Source organism: Homo sapiens, chromosome 3 (assembly GCF_000001405.40).
Source record: "Homo sapiens chromosome 3, GRCh38.p14 Primary Assembly".
NCBI lineage: Eukaryota > Metazoa > Chordata > Mammalia > Primates > Hominidae > Homo > Homo sapiens.
In genome coordinates, this window is record NC_000003.12 from 126,140,876 (window position 1) to 126,159,903 (window position 19,028).

General features: G+C 49.3%; 1 protein-coding gene across 9 annotated transcripts in view, besides 2 other annotated features; it reads right to left on the reverse strand.

The window, feature by feature from the left end:
• ALDH1L1 (aldehyde dehydrogenase 1 family member L1) overlaps positions 1–19,028 on the reverse strand; it is a 94,376-nt gene that overhangs the window by 37,306 nt on the left and 38,042 nt on the right. For 8 of the 9 annotated variants that reach the window (NR_072979.2, XM_024453325.2, XM_011512355.2 and 5 more), the window contains exons 3-9: positions 17,530–17,764; positions 16,468–16,633; positions 14,527–14,628; positions 13,679–13,768; positions 12,569–12,706; positions 9,531–9,656; positions 5,960–6,051 (exon numbers count right to left, since the gene is read on the reverse strand). Coding sequence is in view for 8 of the 9 variants with exons in the window: in XM_024453325.2 (XP_024309093.1) it covers positions 5,960–6,051; positions 9,531–9,656; positions 12,569–12,706; positions 13,679–13,768; positions 14,527–14,628; positions 16,468–16,633; positions 17,530–17,764 (949 nt within the window). In the remaining variant the exon portion in view is untranslated. The remainder of the gene's footprint in view (positions 1–5,959; positions 6,052–9,530; positions 9,657–12,568; positions 12,707–13,678; positions 13,769–14,526; positions 14,629–16,467; positions 16,634–17,529; positions 17,765–19,028) is intronic. The other variant, NM_001270365.2, reaches the window with a different exon arrangement.
• Positions 14,141–14,310: an enhancer, noted in NCBI's record as "experimental_64577 CRE fragment used in MPRA reporter constructs". NCBI's record gives its function as "activates a minimal promoter by MPRAs in K562 erythroleukemia cells, with activity observed for both the introgressed and non-introgressed 3:125873944 variant alleles {active_cell/tissue: K562}" and the evidence as "EXISTENCE:reporter gene assay evidence [ECO:0000049][PMID:34662402]".
• Positions 17,251–17,751: an enhancer, noted in NCBI's record as "H3K4me1 hESC enhancer chr3:125876969-125877469 (GRCh37/hg19 assembly coordinates)". NCBI's record gives its function as "activates a minimal SCP1, AML or CMV promoter by ChIP-STARR-seq in naive H9 embryonic stem cells {active_cell/tissue: H9 hESC(naive)}" and the evidence as "EXISTENCE:reporter gene assay evidence [ECO:0000049][PMID:30033119]".

Here is a 19,028-nt window from a genome sequence, read left to right on the forward strand (position 1 = left end):
CAAAAAAATAAGACATTCAGAAAACAAATGGCAGAAATAAATCTTTATTTATTAGTAACCAAGTTAAATGTAAATGGATTAAACTCTCCTGTTTAATCTATTTAAAGTTTAAACATGAGAAGGCACAAATTGGATGACTGGATAAAACCCAGCATCCATACATATGCTACAAGAGAATCACTTAGATATAATGATACAAAAGAGCTGGAAGTAAAAGGATAGAGAAAATATTCCATGCAAATAGTAACATAAAAGAGACTTTAAATCTAACAAGTTTACAAGACACAAAGAAGGACATTATATTGATACAAAGTTTGATGCTGCAAGAGGATATAACAATTATAAATTCATACACACCTAACACAGCCCTAAAATATATGAAGCAAAAATGGACATTTCTACAATAGTAGTTAGCTACTTAGATGCCCAACTTTCAAAAATGGATAGAACTCAAGAGAATAAGATACTTGAACACCACAAACCAATCAGATATGTACAAAACACTGCTCAAGAAGAACAGAGCACACATTCTTTTCAAGGTTACATGGAACATTCTTCATGATAAATCATTTGTTAGGCTACACAATAAGTCTTAACACATGTAAAAATATTGAACTCTTACAAAATATCTTTCCTAATCAAAATGGAATGAGACTAGAAATCGATAACAGAAAGAAATCTGGAAAATCCATAAAGATATGAAAATGAGCTAGCACACTCTTAAACAATTAATGGGTCAAAGAAGAACACACGAGAAACTAGAAAATACCTTTAGTCAAAGGAAAATAAAAACACAACATACCAAAACTTATGAGAGGCGGGGAAAGTAGTGCTAAGAAAGAAGTTTACAGGTGTAAATACATACTTAGAAAAGAATAAAGTCCTCAAATCAGTAACCTACACTGTACACCTTAAGGAATGAGATTAAAAAGCAATCTAAACCCAAAACTAGCAGAAGGAAGTAATAATAAAGATTAGAACAGAGATAAATGAAATAGAGACCAGAAAAAAAAACAGCAAATCAACAAAATCAAATTTAGATTTCTTGAAAATATCAACAAAATTAACAAACCTTTATCTGACTGACCAAGAAACAAAAAGTGAAGGCTCAAATTACTAGAATCAGAAATCAAAGGGAGACATTATACCAATCTTACAGAAATAAAAAGCATCATAAGAAAATACATGATAAATTATATGGCAACAGATTTGATAACTAGGTAAAGTGAACAAATTCCCAGAAACACACAATCTACCAAAACTCACTCATGGAGAAACAGAAAATTTGAATAGATATATAACTAGTAAGGAAACTGAATCAGTAATCAAAATCTTTCCAGTAAAGAAAAGCCCAGGGCTGAATGATTTCACTGGTGAATTCTACCAAACATTTGAAGGGAAAGTAACACCAATTTTTCTCAAACTCTTCCAAAAAACTGAGAAGAGAACACATCTTCAACTCTGTCCATAAGGCCAGCGTTTACTCTGAGACCAAAGCCAGACAAAGATACTACAGCAAAAGAAAGCTACAGACCAATATCCCTTATGGAAACTGATGCAAAAATCCTCAACAAAATACTAGCAAATTGATTTCAGCAGCATTTTAAGAATATTACATACCATGACCAAGTGGGATTAATTCTTGGAATGCAAGGATACTTCACCTATGAAAATCAATCAGTGTAACATACCACATTAATGGAATGAAGAGAAAAACACATGGTCATCTCATTTAATGCAGAAAAAGAATTTGACAAAATTCAATATCCTTTCATGATTAAAAAGCACTCAAACTAAGAATAGAAGGGAACATCCTTTATATAATAAAGGCCATATTTGAAAAATCCACAGCTAACATACTCAGTGGTGAAAGACTGAAAGCCTTTCCCCTGAGATCAGCAGCAAAATGAGGATGCTTGCTTTCACCACTTCCATTCAATACACTATAGTAGTTCCTCCTTACCCACGGGCAGGGTCGGGGGTTGGGGTTGTTCCAAGGCTCCCAGTGAGTGCCTGAAACCACATATAGGGCTGAACCTTACACTGTGCTCCTTGACTTATGATATGATTACATCCCAAAAACCCATTATAAATTGAAAATGTTAAATCATGAATGCATTTAATATACCTAACATACTGAACATCAGCGCTTAGCCTAGGCTACCTTAAATGTTCTCAGAACATTTACATTAACCTACAGTTGGGAAACTCATCTAACACAAAGCCTATTTTATACTAAAGTTTTGAGTATCTCATACAATTTATTGAACACTGTACTGAATGTGAAAAACAGAATTTTGTAAGGGTACACAAAGCATAATTTCTACTGAATTCGTATCATGTTCACACCATCATAAAGTCAAAAAATCCTAAGTTGAAGCATCATAAGTCTGGGACCATCTATATATTCTATGTTTTTTCTGATAACACCAGTGGCTACTAAGTGACTAATGGGTGGGCAGTGCATACACCATGGATATCCTGGACAAAGGGGTGATCCACGTATCAGGTGGGATGGAGCGGGACAGCATGAGATTTCATCATTCTATCAAATGGCTCTCAATTTAAAAACGTATGAATTATTTCTGGACTTTTCCACTTAATATTTTCCAACCATGATTGACCATGGGTAACTTAAACTTCAGAAAGCAAAACCACAAATAAGGGGAGACTACTGTACTGGAAGTTCCATCCAAGGCAATTAGGCAAGAAAGAAACATTAATCCAAATTGTGAAGGAAGAAGTTAAATCATATCTCATCACAGATAACATGATCTTACATGTAGAAATCTTTAAATGGGCCAAGTGTAACGCCTCACCCTGTAATTCAAGCACTGTGGGAGGATCACTTGAGCCTAGGAGTTCAAAATCAGCCCGGGCAACATAGCAAGACTTTGTCTGTAAAAAAAATTGTTTTAAGTTAGCTAGGTGTAGTGGTGCATGCCTGCAGTCCTGCTACTCAGGAGGCTGAGGCAGGAGGATCACTTGAGCCCAAGAATTTGAGGCTGCATTGGGCTATGATCAAACCACTGTTCCAGCCTAAGTGACAGAGCAAGACCATGTCTAAAAAACAGAAAAAGAAAACTTTAAATATTCTGCACCTCCAAAAAACTGTTAGAGCTAATAAAGGAATTCAGCAAAATTGCAGGATACAAAAATAACATGCAAAAAAACAGTTGCAACTCCATAAATTAGCAATGAACAATCCAAAAAGGAAATTAATAAAACAATTCCCTTTACAATGGCATCAAAAGAATAAAATAAGAATAAATTTAACCAAGTAGCCAACAGAGTTGTACAATGAAAACTACAAAACACTGCTGAAAAAAATTACAGAAGATCTAAATAAATAGAAAGCCATCTGTGTTCATGGACTGGAGAAGTTAATATTGTTAAGATGACAATACTGCCCAAAGTTATGTACAATTTTTATGCCAACTCTATTAAAATCCCAAGTGATTTTTTGCAGAAATTACAAAAATCATCTTAAAATCATATGGACTATCAAGGGACTGTGAATAGTTCAAACAATCCTGAAAAAGAACAAAGTTAGAGGACTCACATTTCCTGATTTCAAAATTTACTACAAAACTACAATAATCAAAATAGTATGATACTGGCATAAACACAGATATATAGACCAATGAACAAGATAGCCTAGAAATAAACCTAAACATATATGGCCAACTAATCTTCAACAAGGGTGCCAAGAATACATAATGGGGAAGCGATAGTCCCTTCAACAAGTGATGTTGGAAAGATTGGATGTCCACATGCAAAATAATTAAATCGGATCCTTATCTTGCCCCACACATAAAAATATTCAACTCAAAATATATGAAAAACTTAAGACTTAAAACTATAAAACTAGAAGAAAGCATAGGGGAAAGTCTCCATGACATTGGTCTTTGCAATCATTTCCTGAATATCACACCAAAAGAACTGGAAACAAAAGCAAAAATATACAAGTCATATGCATCAAAGTAAAAAGCTTCTGCAAAGCAAAGGAAACAATCAGCATGGAATGCGAGAAAACTTCTGCAAACCATGTATCTGATAAGAGGTTAATTCCTAAAACATATAAGGAGTTCCTACAACTCAATAGCAAACAAAACAAATAATCCAATTTAAAAATGGGCAAAGACTTGAATAGACATTTCTCCAAAGAAGACATACACATGACCAACAGGTATATGAAAAGATGCTCAACATCACTAATCATCAGGAAAATGAAAATAAAAACTACAATGAGATACCATCTCATCACTGTTGGGATGGTTATTGTTCAAAAGGAAAGAAGAAAAGGGGAGAGGAAGGAAGATAGGAATGAAAGTAAGCATTGGCAAAGATATGGGAAAAATGGAACCTTTGTGCACTGTTGGTGGGAATGTAAAATGGTGCAGCCTCTGTGGAGAATGATATGGAGGTTCCTGAAAAAATTAAAAGAAGAACTATCATATGACCCAGTAATCTCACTGCTGGGTATTTGTCCAAAAGAACTGATCTCAAATTCCCATGCACTTCCACATTGATTCACAACAGCCAAGATGTGGAAACAACACAAATGTCCATCAACAGATGAGCAGATAATATGGTCTATCTGTACAATGAAATAGGATTCAGCCATAAAAAGAAGGCAGTCCTGCCATGTGCTACAAAAGGGCTGAATTTTGAGGACATCATGCTAAGCGTAAAAAGCCAGTCACAGAAGGACAAATGCTGCATGATTCCACTTGTATGAAGTACTAGAGTGGCCAAGCTCATCAGAGCAAAAAGAATGGCTGTTGCTGGGGCTAGGGAGAAGGAAATGGGGAGTGGCTGTTCAACGGACAGAAAGGTTTAGTTGTGCGAGAAAAAGTTCTAAAGATCTGCTGACCAACACTGTGCTCATAGTTAACAATCCTACAATATACAGCTATAATTTTAAGAAGGTAGATGTTGTATTATGTGTTTTTTTGCCACATTTTTTTTAAAAGGACATATACTCTTAACTATTTACAGAAAAGCAGTTTTGCTTTCTTTGCATCCTCAGCTCGGTAGCTGTACACAAGGCATGGCCTGGCCTCTGGACACCATTCTCTCAGGTGTCTGGCATTCTTCTTCTTGGCATATTTTTTACAAAACAATTATTACAAACTGCATACTGCCTCACAGTGAGTTACTAGAGGTCCACAGTGCCAAGCACATAGGCCCAACTCAGCCCACTCAGCCCCAACTCATATGCATGGTCAATTGCAAAACTGGTCACAATGCCCACCCCTGCAGTCACAGCCTTGGCCATGTGAAGGTGCAGCACCTGCTAGCAAGATGTGGAGTTTCTTTCCCCAACCCTGGAAGCTGGACCTGTTCTGTGACTCATTTTGGCCAACAGAATGCAATGAACACAACGTGCTCACTCTGAGACCCCCTCCCTGGGCTCCCGCTCTCCCTCCTGGAACCCACCACCACCACAGGACCAGCCAGCCCCCAGCTGACCTGGCAGATCCCGCCCTTATGTGAGCCCAGCTGACAGCAGCTGAATCTGATGCAAATCAGCTGAGCCCAGCACAAACTGTCGAACCATAGTACTGTGAGCTAAGGATATGGTGTTGGTTTAAATCTCAATGTTTTGGGGTGCTTTGTTGCACAGCACAAATGGTTGGCACAATACATAACCCTAATTCTCCCTATGAACTCAGTACTGTTCTTCTGAATCAACTCCTCCCAAATTCCCTCCTAGAACTTCCCCAGAGAGGCTGCATGCAACTACGCCCCCTTAACATTTGCATAAAGACCTGCAACCATTCATTTGTGCTGCCCACCATGTGTGCACGCAGACCTGCACACTGGCCCTTCCTGGGTCCCTGGCCCACATGATCCATGAGTGTAACAAATGGTTGTTTCCTGCTGCTCAGTTTTGCAGAGATTTGTGACACAGCACCAAGTACCTGGGACAGGACCCCTCCACTCCTGGCCTTACCTCACAACGTCCACAGACGCGGCCCCTGACTTGAAGAAATCAGTGGAGTCTTCAACCTCCAGGACTTTGGGGAGGATCCGCTGCCAAACACTCTGCAAAGCAAGACCTGATGAGAGGCTGGCCCCAGGGGAGCTGGGGACAAGTGCCACTCCAGGACAACAACCCCTGAACAGACTCATGGATGGCCTGGGGCCAGGCTGGGCTTCTCTATGTACCTCCAAGTTGTTGCCTCATCCCAGGAGGCTTAATGGTCCTGGAGTGACCACCTTCTGGGAAAGAAGGAGCTGCCACATCCCAGGGCCCTCTGATGCTGGCTGCTGTCCTCATGCCCACCTCACCTCAACCCCCAGCTTCTCTGGGGTCCCCATGACAGTCCAGCTGATGGAGGACAGATGTGCCAGGCCTCTAGGCATGGCTGGGGACTAGGAAGGTGGGGCCCAGCTGCTCCTGACCCCCACTCACCTTGGTGCTAGCGCCCAGGTTCTGGTGTCCCTAGTGTGACACCGATGCCCGGGTGTTGTAGCAGCAGGCTGGAGACAGGGTGGGCCTGAAGGTGACTATGAGGCTCACAGATGGGTTCAGGAGACCTGGGTCTTGACCTCACCAAGATGCTAACTGGTCTGTGTCCTCTGAAGGATTCAGTCTGGGACCTATGGAGGGCAGCAGTGCCCAGCCAGCTGGCCCTGTGGATGTGGGTGCTCAGCTCCCACTAAGGCACCCAGTAAGGCTGTCCAGCAGTCAAGATGGGATGACTGCTCTCTGGGCAGGCTGCTGGTGAGGCCCAGTGGGGCAGGAGTCAGGAGGGGCCCCAGCAATATCAGGCCAGGTCCCCACTCTCTGGATGAACTCCAGGCCATTGTCAATCATGGGCCCAGGTTGGGGGTGAGGCATGAGATGCTGGTCCAGGCCCAATCAGAACCAGTTCCCCCAACCCCTGGCACAAGCACCCCCGGCTCTCCTCTTTCTTTCTTGGAAAAATGTCATGGATCTGCCCTTCCCATCCTCAGGGCGAGCATCAACACCACACCAAGCCACGCACTGTCTGCCACACACCTGCTGCCTGCCCCTCGAGGTCTCTGCTAGGCTCTCACCTGCTGGCGACACCTTCCCCTGACTCCCCAGCTAATATTTAAGTCCTGGGCATCCTTAAGGGTCCAATTCCTGTGTCACCTCTTCCCCAAAACCTTTGCTGGCTACTCTACTGGCAGGATCTACCTGCCTCAGACCACACCGCTTGGGGCCACCAGTTGTCCCCTACTGGATGGCACCTGCTAGCGTCCAGGGCCCTTATCAGATGAGAGTGGAGCCACAAAGGGGCAGTGCGGCAGACTGGTCACTGAGTGCACCACAAAGCCAAAGCCCACCAAGCCATGAAAATGCAGGCAGCCCCTCAGTGCTGACAGCAGCTGTGTAAGGATTCCGTGTGTGAGGCAGGCAGAGAGTCTGGACTACAGGGAGAGTCAGCAAACACAACGTTTCTGCCATGGGCAGCAACTGCCCAGCCTCAGCTCATGAAGGCATAGGGGGTTGTGGCCCACTACCTGCCGAGCCCACAGCAGGCTCTTGGAGCGTTCTCCTGAACAGCCACAGGCCAGGCCCCTCCACCAACACCGGGGAGCTGCACAGCCCCAGACTGGCCTCCCCTCGTTTTGGCCATGTCCCCTCTATCACATCGGTCTCCAGACCATACATCCTGGAGGCCGAGTGCAGCTGTGAGCAAGAGGCCTAATGATAGCCATCCTAGCGATGGCCTTAGGGGGCTGCACGGTGAACAGCTAGAGGAGGACTTGAGCCCAGCCCTCCAGAGCCCGGACTCCACTCCTCAGGCCTTGGCTCCACAGCTGAGACCTGCAGGTACTGAGGGCACCTACTGCATAGAGTTGTTATCATGAATAAACACGCCGCTCTTCCAGGAGGATCTGGAACTCTGAATGTGCACGGTGAACAAATGCAAACCTGAAATAGCCAATCCTTCAAGATGGATCCCCAGCAGCAAACTGGGCCTAAATTTAAAACAGAGCCAAGTGGACACTTGCTGTCTAGGGGGTCACACATGTACTCTAGGTTCCCCTAAAACCTGCACCTTTTTATCTTTGAGTCTTTCAGAGCTCACCTGAACCAGCCAATCAGGGCTCAGCTGTACCAACCAATTAGAACTGGTTTCAACCCTTCCTTTGCATGGGAACCTGGGTGAGAGCTTTTGCTATAAAACCCCACCCTTCCCGTTGTTCTCAGGAATGCACCTTCCTGTTACACCAGAAGCTGCCTTTGGACGGTTTGCAAACTGGTCACTGGAATAAAGTCTCTGTTCTCCAAACTCATTTTCTGAGAACTTTTGTCCACAGTACACACTCCAGAAGTATCTGCTTTTCTCATGAGATGCTTAGACGTATTGCCGATGTGTACTGAGTTCCTCAAAGATGCCAGCTACTGAACTAAACCTCTTCATGTGTGTTATCTCCTCTACCAATCCTCCATTGAGGAAGGGCTTGTTATTCCCATTTTACAGATGCAGGACTTGGCTGCAGCTGTTGTAAGATAGCATCGTTTGACTCAGGTCTACATCTACAAACGATGACCCCAGCTCATCCCCAGAGCCACTCAGCTGTGGGCTCCAGGAGGGCTGTCTGTCCAGCTGGCCCTGCAACACCAGGGCAGGCCAAGTCAGGGCCAGAGCAACTGCTCCAGGGATATCTTTGGAATAAATAGGATTTTTTTTAAACAGACCTTCAAGGTGTTCCACTTTCAAGAAGGAAGTTGCTGGCTCTCAGCACCTTTGGATCACACAAATGCCTCATGTCCATCCTTGCTGAGCCTTGCCGCACATGTGCTGTTAACACCCAAGGTCCCCAGCTGTGCCCACCTGACTCTGCCCCTCACCCCCTGGGCTCCAGCTACAGTGCCCTCCCATGGTGACTCCCTGAACACAGGGAGGCCTCTGCCCTGTTAGGGCCTTGCCATTTGCTGTTCCTTCTCTCTTGAAGGTCTTCCCCCAGATCTCTTCTCTCCACCCAGGGAAGAAGGATACAGTGGGAGGGAGCATGAAGGGTCAGGAACAAATTCCAGGAAGTGAGCATGGATGGAAATTCATGTTGAGAAGACTGAGTCTTAGAGACGAAAGCTCCCTACAGCATCATATTGGGGCAAAGCTGGATTGGAGACCAGGTGTGCCTTATGGGCAGCTTGTGTTGGTCACAGCCCGGGATGCTGCCTCTGGTGCAGCCTTTCTGGAAGGCTCCAGTGCTCACATTCTAATCACAGGGACATGGGCTTGACACCTGACTCTTTCAAATATTCCAGGAGCTTCTGTTTCACTTATTAAGTGTTGACAATGAGCCCCTAGAAGAGTCAGACTGAACTGGCCAGATCCCAGGGCCCCAGTTGCAGAGGAAGGAGCAGCAAGAAGACAACAGAAAGCTCCAAGACGAGATAGAACCAACACTGCACCTGGAGCCAAAACAGACACCCACAGAGGGCTGGCGCTGCCCAACTCTGGGGAGTGTGATTTGCAGAACACATGTGCACGGCACAACCTGCCCAACTGGATGGCAGCCCTGAAGTTGCCTCTTACCCGCACAGCCTCCGCAGTAACCAGCTCTGCCTCTGTCAGCTCAAGGACACTGCTGGCTGCCCCCTTAAAGAAGTTCGAGGCCAGGATCATTTTGCCATCCTCCAGCTGAATATTCTTCACCAGCAGCTGCAAAAGGAAGGATTTCTTTTCTTTTCTTTTCTTTTTTTGAGACAGAGTCTTGCTCTGTTGCCCAGGCTGGAGTGCAGTGGTGCGATCTCGGCTCACTACAACCTCCGCCTCCCGGGTTGAAGCGATTCTCCTGCCTCAGCCCTCCTGAATAGCTGGGATTACAGGCGCGCACCACCATGCCCGACTAATTTTTGTTTGTATTTTTAGTAGAGACGGGGTTTCACCACATTGGTCAGGCTGGTCTCGAACTCCTGACCTCATGATCCATCCACCTTGGCCTCCCAAAGTGCTGGGATTACAGGCATGAGCCACTGCGCCCGGCCAAAAGGAAGGATTTCACAGTTCCTGTGGTCGGACCTGAGGCAGTGATGAAGGTGTCCCACAAGGGGTGCTGTGCTGGGCGCTCCAGCCTTGTCTCCAACCTTCAGATGAGGAAGAAGCAGGGAGTCTCAGATTAGTGATGAGTTCAGAGTGGGGAGGCCACTATTCCAGGGACACAGAGGGAATTGCAGAGCTTGTGTCCCCTACCAGCTGCTCGATTTTCCATCACCCACTCCCACCACACTTTCACTTTGTTTTTAAGTGTAATGACTTTATTACTTCTATAAAAAAGGATTCCTACTGAACAAAAAAAGAAAACGTCATTCAGGCACCACATAGAAAGTCAACTTAGAAAAAAAAACTAATCTTGCAATCACCCAGTAGCTCCCAGAACTGCCACAGAAACACCTGGAGAACATCACCAGATGCCTGTGTGGGATACAGAGGTGGGAAGAGGAGAGGCTGAAAAAGGGTCTGGCCGGCCCTGCAGTCTGCAGCTTCAGGATAGCACTTCAAGCTGGTCCCAGGTAGAGCCTGCGTCCAGCCATCAGTTCAAGGGGATTCTGGCTGCCAGACATGAACTGCCCCCATTGTAGCTCATGACTCTGGGCTACTCTAGTGTCTGCCTCAGATTTACTGTATTTAATAAGATGTTTGAATTGTTTGGGGCCTGCTTGTTTATCAATAGTTTTTCAACAAATGCTTTTGTTAGGGGCCAGGAAAAAAAACACATGTACAAAAAGAGTTATGGATAAGCTCATGGGTGGGTGCATGTCACTGTGCGTTAAGAGTGGCTGTGTAAGAATGGTACTCTGTATGCATGCTCTGCCAGAACTGGAACTTGCCTCTCGGCCTGACCCTCGCCCCATTGCCTTTCAAAGATGTTCTGGAGCTTTCTGCAAGCTAAAGCCCAGCCAGACTCCACAGGGCGTGGCTGAGAGATGCTTCAACCCAGGGTCTTCTGGGTTGATCTGTGGGGAGCAGGGTGTGTGTGCTCAGCTGGTCTCTCCTCACTCCCCTCCCACCCTGACCACCTCTGGACAGTGGACAAAGCTCTTGTGAGAGAGCTGATAACCCCAGCTTCCTCTTAAGACACTTAATTGCCTTCTTTGCATTCCTGTCTTTGCAGGTCTCTGGACAGATGCTGTGGGTGCCCTGCTCAGACCCCTGTGGCTGGTGCCCTGTCCTCCAGCTGCAGCAAGGGCTGGATGATAACGGCCTGCACTGTCCCATCCTTGCTTGCTGTGGATGGATAAGAGCTCCTGTACACAAAGAGGCCGAGGGATTATGCCTGGTGGGTCCTCCACCCCACCCCAGGGGCCACTGAAACCAAAGGCTGACAGAGGTGGGGACAGGCAGGTATAATTGGAGGGTGCAGTTAATACTCCAAAACCCACCCTGGGAGCAGCCCCAGGCTAGACTTCTCCTGAACCTTTACTTTTGCTTTGCTTTCCTCTGCCCTTACTGCCTCGCATGATTTTCTGGAACATTCCCTCAATAAATCACTTGCACAAGAATTTTTACCTTAGATGCTGCTTCTAGGGAACCTGACCACAGACAGATATTCTCTTGCAACTGCATATATCAATCTTGGATACCCAAAACACTACATTGCAGACATCAACAGCAGCCTAGACCTTCTGACAGGGGAGCATGGCAGACTGGACACCAAGAGCGAGCAAAGGCCAGGCCCCATACTGCCACGCCTCACTCTGGTAGGCCGGACACAGCAACACGGCTGGGGGTACCACGCCCATGGGGTTTGTCCGGACCCTGTCAGTGTGTGGGAAGATCCCTGCCTGCCCTCTCCCTACCCCCGGCTGCTCATGTGAGAAGGAGTAGTAGAGTGCATATGAACAGGAAGCTACCATGGCCAAGACCAGCATCACGGCTTTGGAGCCAGAATTTCAGAGTCTGAATCCCAGCTCTGCCACGGGCTAGCTTGGATGATCCTGGACAAGTTATTTAAATCTCTGTTTTTTTCCTCTATAAGGATATAATATTTATACATATCTCATAGTGTTGTTAGGCAGATTAAATTTAACGCATATACATTGTTCTGGTATAAAAGGTGCTCCATCAGTGTTTGCTGGTACCGTGAGTTGTAGTCTGCTAATAACAAGAGCAGGTGGCCGGCATGGCTCCCAAGGCTCTGCACGTGCTAAGTTACCATGGCATCGCCGTTCAAAGAGATGGGAGCTGAGGCACAGAGGCTTAATGACCCCACACCCAGAGGTGTTTCTGATAGACCAAAGAGAGGCCCTGAACCCAGGCTCCCTGGGAGGGCTTCTCTCTGATTCTAGGTTGCCTGACACCCACACAGGGCACTCAGCCTGGAGATGGGTGCCTAGCCAGGAAGGGTAGGGAGCCCAGCTTTCCCAGAACAGAGAAGTGGGTAAACTGCCTCGGACACCCTGTGCTCAGGACCAGCCGGGTGGTCAGGGACAAATCAGGGTCAGTGTTCCTTCCTGGGTCTGGTTTTTTCCATTTTCTCCAGAGGAGCCTAGGGTCTTCCTGTGAGGCCTGAGTCCAAGGACAGGAGCATGGGTGGCTTTGAGCAGGCAAGTGACCCACAGCCGTGCCCTTACCATTTTGTCATCATTCCCAAAGAGGATGAGTCCTGCTTTGGTGACCACCCCTGGCCGATGGGCTCCTGGGATGGGCAAAGCGTCTCCCTCGGGCACCAGGCCTGAAGTGTTCAGCGTTGAGTTGAAAAATGTCAGTTTCTGTCAAGGGGAGAAATATCAGAAGATGGTGGGTGAGAAGAAGCCCCCGAAGCCAGTAGCCCAGGCAGGTCTGAGCAGGGCTGGGAGAGGGAGAGGGGCCAGGGGTAGCTGAGACCTGGGAGCCGGCTCAAAGCCCATGTGACCCCTGAGGCCCTTTCTCCTGGGGCACAAACAAGACCTGGAGGAGCCTCAGTGGCCTCAGGGAGCTGATGGCAGGTCTGCCTCAACTCTGCCATAAGACCCTTCTCCTTGGCCCATGGCCTCAGACCTGAGGTGCACAGACTGGGGGAGAATGTGCTCCAGGCATCACGGAATGAGGCTACCTGCCTTCAGGGTGCTGCCAAGGAGTGGTTGCTTTGATCAGAAGATGCATTTGCTAGTACAAAGGGCTCTGCGTTGATGAGGACAGCAGAGAGGCTTCTGGCCACAGTCTGGGCAGTCGGCTGGGGGTCAGGGGTCTGGAGAGTCTGAGACTGTGTGGGGGACAAGACTGCCCTCAAGGTTTGCACAAAGTCCACCACACACAGTCCCGCCACCCCTGATGCCTCACTAGAGCCTGTGACCCCCAAGTCTCCCCATCTTCAGCATCTGGCCTGCCCACGGTCAGCCTGGCCCTGAATGTGCTGCTCCACCCTGCCTGAGGCCAAGTCAGAGTGAGTACTGGGCCTGGGGTCTCCGCAAGCCCAGTGGTGAGACTCAAAATATTTCACCACCAATACAGCTGGGCCCCAGGGGCACTACAAGGGCCTGGAGGCCTCCAGCTACGCAGGACATCTATCCTTTAGCTACTGCAGGCTGGGTAGGTCTCTCACTCCTGGGGAAAGGCTGGGATGTTTAGGGGGCACCCAGTGGGAGTAGGGGCCAGGGCAGTAGCTATTTATTATACCAACCAGTTCAAACATGTGTGACAGTTTAATGGCCAGTGGGATACACCAATGCACGTGGCTGGATTCCAGCCATGCAGGGACACACCTGTTCACAGGCCTCTGTCCAGGCTCCCGGCACCTTGTCGTTCCCGCGGATCCAGTTGTGAATGGCCTCTGCCGGCTGGTCCCAGTTGATCTGTGGGGAGCAAGGTGTGTGTGCTCAGCTGGTCTCTCCTCACTCCCCTCCCACCCTGATGACATCTGGACAGTGGACCAAGCTCTTGTGAGACAGCTGGTAACCCCAGCTTCCTCTTAGACACTTGCAGGAGTCCCTGAGCTGGTGCCCCTAGTTCTGGGTGCTCTCTGACCCTCAGTCTCTCATGGGCTGAGCAGACTTCAGAATGGTTTGGGGAAGATAATGTTCTGTTGCTGTCAAGATGGCCCAGACCCTACACAGAGGCCCCAGCACAATGTACTCAGGCCCGTCCCATAGGGCCCAACCTTTCACTGGCAGGGCCCCTGTGGGTCCCCACACAGCAACCCATACTCCTGAGCTGAGACACAGCCTACAGGCTTCTGAGGCTCCTCCACTGGCTATTGCTCCAGAGACCCGCACTGTCCCTCACACCTTGCCTTGAAGACTGCTCGCACTACGGCTGACGTTTTGCCCCCTAACTCCCACTCTTATCTCCCTGTGGGCTTTGTCTGCCCATTCCTCCTAAAGAGGAACAGGAAAGAACCTGGAATGGACCCTGTTCGCTACCCTCCCAGGTGCCAGGGTCCTCCTCCTCCACGGCTCTCTTCATGCATCCCTGACCTGGGCTGCCCTGTGTTCTGGCCTCAAAGAATTACAACCTGCACCATCTGGGCTGAACCCCAGCCTCCTCAGGCTGCCCTCTACAACCCCAGTCTGCTCACAGGCAGGATGAGGGTGTGGAGGGACCCAGCACTCACCTTGGCTGTCTCCTTCTTCTGAATCCCCTCATAGGTGGCTCCTTCCTCAGGCTGAGGGAGTCTGGGGGCTTTGCCCTCAGCGATCAGCCTCACGGCCTGCACCTGGGGAGATCCAGTGGGTTGCTATCCCCAGCAATAGGACCCTGCCTCCTTCCCAGCCCCAGGGCCCACATTGAGCCTGGACCCTTCCCCAGACTGACCAGACTTGCCTGGTACACAGCAGTCACCCAAGAAACACCTGCCATATGAACAAGGGAGTCAGCGTGAACCTAACTTCTATTGCACAACGGACACAGACCCGTCCTCTCTACCTGGCAAAGGTTTAGATTACATAGATCTTACATCTTCTGATATCTTAGATGATTATATAAACTGTAAAGCCCTGCAGGTATAACACAGACACAAATGTCCATGTTGCTGTCTAAGCCTTCTCTGCCTTTAAAGAGAGTGGGTCCTGAGCCCCGTGGTGGGCTTGAAGGTGGAAGTTTGGAGGTCTGAGATGAAGCAGGAAGTTGTTTCTCTGTGACAGGAAAGAGGAAGGTGGTGGGAAAGGAATCAGAGAGGGAGAAGGAGAGCCAAGGAGTCTGGGCCCACGTGAGCAAGAGCCTGAGGGAAGAGACCGGGAGGTGCCAAGAATGGGAAGTGACCGGGTGTCAGAGCATCTGAGGCAGGGCTGCCCAATGGAGCCCTCTGTGGTGATGGATGAGTTCCAAGTCTGCACGGTCCAACACGGTGGCCAGGGGACTTAGAATGTGGCTGAGACTGAGGAACTGAATTTTTCAGTATAATTCATTTTAATTGATTTAATAGCTGCATGTTACCAGTGGCTGCCTTGTTGGACAGTGCAGCTTCAAGGAGTATTTGAGTTGCTTGCCGTGGGAAGCACAGGTAAGCTCCCTCTCTGTACCACTAAATCTCCAGCAACTCTACTTTGTTCACTATTTTTGTGAGCTGGTCAATCTGTGGGGAAGACAAGTTTAACACAACCGAAAAATAAAAGGCAGTGGCCAGGAGCTGAGGAGGACGAGGGGACAGTGGACACTGCAGCTGCTCTTCCTGCTGCGCCCAAACAGCAAGGGCTCCCCAGGGCCTCCTTCCCTCCTGCTGCATGCCTGGACAGCACCTCTGCCTGTGGCCGTCCCTGCCAGCCTGTCCTCGGGCAGGGGCAAGCAGCCCTCACATATGATCCCCGGGCCCCTCCTGCAGCTGTGGGCTCCGGCCCATAGCCTGCCACCCTGCCTCTCAGCAGTACCAGCTGCCCAGGTGACTGAGCCGCCCTGCCGCTCAGGCCATGTGACCACAGGTCACGGCCTTCCCAGCAGGAAGCATGTGACGGAGACAGCCTATCAGAGCACTCCATCACCCCAGCTGGTGATTGGCTCATGAGGATCACATGACCCCCAAGCTGGCCAATCAGAATCTCCCCTGATTTGTGATTGATGAATTCTAGGAGAAAAAGTGTTTCTCTTTCCCTGGAATCAAGAATTAGAATCCTTGAGCTATAGTGGCTATCTTTCCTCTAATTCAGGGCAGCCAAACTGAGAATGAAACAAATCACACAGAGAAAAGGAGAATCAACGAGTGAAGGAGAGAGAAATAGAATCCTAACGATGTCATAATTGAAGCTCCTGGATTCAGCAGGGTGTGACCCAGTCCCTGCCTTTAGCCTTCCTTGTCTATTGAACGGGCCCCAAAATGTCCCCTTTTTGCCAAACGCTTTTTGAGCTGGGTTCTGTCCGTTGTGAGCAAGATTCCCTCCTAATACAATACACTGTTTGTCCTAATCCTGCCTCTGAAACCTTGAAGTGAGAGCTCCTCTCCCTCCAGAATCCTGAATTTGGGGAACAGATTCCTGGCCTCCAGGAGCGGTGGGCTGGGTCTAGGGAGGATGCTTGAGGGTGCGTCGGGGCGGGCAGGGCGCGGCCGGCTCCAGGTCCTCACCATCCCTTTGATGCCTTCAGGGAAGAGGAAGCGGTTGTACAGCGTGCTCACGGTGTCGTCCGGGAGCACCTCACACTCCTTCTGCAGCAGCAGGTCTCCGGTGTCCAGACCATCATCCGCCCAGAAGATGGAAAACCCCCCTTTCTTATCTCCGTGAATGAGGGTCCTAGGAAGCAGAAGAGTGAAACCTGGAGTCCACGATGAAGGGCCACGGAGGATGTCCTGGGTACAGGCCCGTGGACCTGCCACCCTCCAGGAGGCCCTCTCTTCCCAGGGGTAGGACTGACACCGGCTCCGGCGGGAAACGGAAGAAGGAAAACAGCATGTATTGATAACAACCATGGGCCAGGAATTGTGCTAAAAGCTCTATATGCCTTATGTAACTGAGTCCTCACAGCAGGGATAACAGGTATACTCGGTTTACAGATAGGGAAACTAAGGCCCAGAAAAGTGAAGCGACACCCACAAAGATCAGAGAGCCTGAATCTCAACAGACCAGTCCGACTACAAATCCACTCTCTTTTCTCAACTCAAATGTCTTCCCTCTTTGACCACCCATCTGCCTTGTCACCCCATTTGTTGTCTTGGGAATTCTGTCCCCTCAGAGTACCTTGTGGAGGCCATCCTTTGCTCCATCTTTATCTCTTTCTACGAAGTGTGCTGCCCAGAGCAGCGGCAGTGGAAGTTAGAGTAGGACCCCCAGCCCACCGCCTGGGGTGGCACCCTGGCCCCTGCGCCTCCTGGTGCCCTCTCTGTCCCTGCGCCTTCTGGTGCCCTCTCTGTCTCAGCTGGGGGATGGGAACACTGACAGTGCCAGCTTCTCCAATAACTGTGGGAATGCAGAGTGCTTAGCAACACCTGCTCCCAGTGCTCTAGAGCCTTCACTCATTGATAACGTTGCACAGCCTGTTCTGTGGCTGACATCTGGCAGCCACAGGACAGGCACCTGCACGATGCCCACTCTGCAGCCCTAGAAATGCTTTGGGCTAATGGAAAGTGACAAGTCAGGCTGATGGAGGGACATGTATGGGGATGGCCCCCTGTGTTTTTGCCCCATCTCACCAGTTGATGGCCGAGGCCCCTCGGTGCCTAGGGAGCAGTGACGGGTGATAGATGATGGAGCCATGCCGGGGGGCACTGATTATCTCCATGGGGATGAATTGGCTGCAGAAGGGCAGGACGTTGAGCTCGGCCCCCAAAGCCTGGTATTTTGCCACCACATCAGGCAAAGCCTGTCCTTTTGCACGCCACCGGGAGTACTTGAATACCGGCACTCCATCCTTCTCAGCTTCCAGACCTGTGGGACGGTGGATAAGAAACTGGCCCCTCTCCATAACCCACCCACACGCAGCCACCTCTGCCTTCCCAGCAGAGCAGCTCATAGGACTTCTCTCCATTCCTGCCCCCTCACCCACACCCCAGCCAGGCTCCACTGGGCAACACAGACGGATGCACCAGCCAAGCATGAGGCTCTGGGGACTGCCCTGCCTGCATCCTGACTTTTGCTGAACCCCAGGACCTCTGAGTGCCTCCCTCTTCCAGAACCCAGATGGCTGACCTCTGCCCTCATTCCTCTCCTGAGGCCTTGCCATCCCCGTCACTGAGTTACTGTCTTCCGGCCCCCTCTACTGCTCACTCTGTGATGGGGACTGCCCCCCTGCAGATGGCATTTCTGCTTTGTCAGCTGTTCCCTGATGGAGGAAGAAGGGGAAGAAGGGCAACAGGGCATCCCCACTCCTTTCTGTCCAGTGGGTTCCTGTCCTGTGAGCCTCCCCCAGCCCAGCTTCTTCATCCCAGTCACAGTCGTTCCTTCTCAGAGCAATGGCTAAATCAGTTTTTCCATCATCTGCAGAACTAGCCTCAATATGCACACATGCGTGCACACACACACACACACACACACACCCCAGAGGACCAGATACAGCCTGCAGGGCCCCTCCTCCTGCCCCGTCACCAGCACACCCTCCTCACAGGTCTGGATTACAGGCCCAAGCTCCCAAGTTTTTATAGTTAAAGCGTCCTCCTTTATCTTAGCCTTACAGTGGCAGCTGCTTCCTGCAGTCGCTGTCCCCAATAACTTTGGGCTCTCTGCCTTCCACTCTTCAATACCCAAGGAACACTTCTTTGTATTCAGTTCTCTGTTAGAGCCTCTGGTGTGATGTTTGGGCCCTGACTGGACTGGCTCTCCTCTCCGGTCTCCTCCTCTGTCACTCTGTCCTGGTGTCTGGTAGTTTTGAGAGAGGGTGGGATGTGATGTCAGCAGATTGGACTGCACTTGCAAAAGCTGTCCCACAGTGACCAATGAAATACTGCTTCAGGACATCTGAGATCAAGGCCAAGTAGGAGTCCCAGCCAGGCCTGGTCTGGGTCCAGGGTCAGCAGCTGGGGTCAGTGGTCACTTAGTGGCTGGGTGTAGGACCCAGGCTGTGGTGGGGTCAGGGTATGTCATGGGTCACTTGTGGTCAGGTCCAAGACTGAAGCCTGGCTGGCATTGGGTGTTGAGTGTTGGAGTTGATTCTAGGGCCAGGCTGCAGCTTCCCCACTGAGGGAGACTGGCTTTC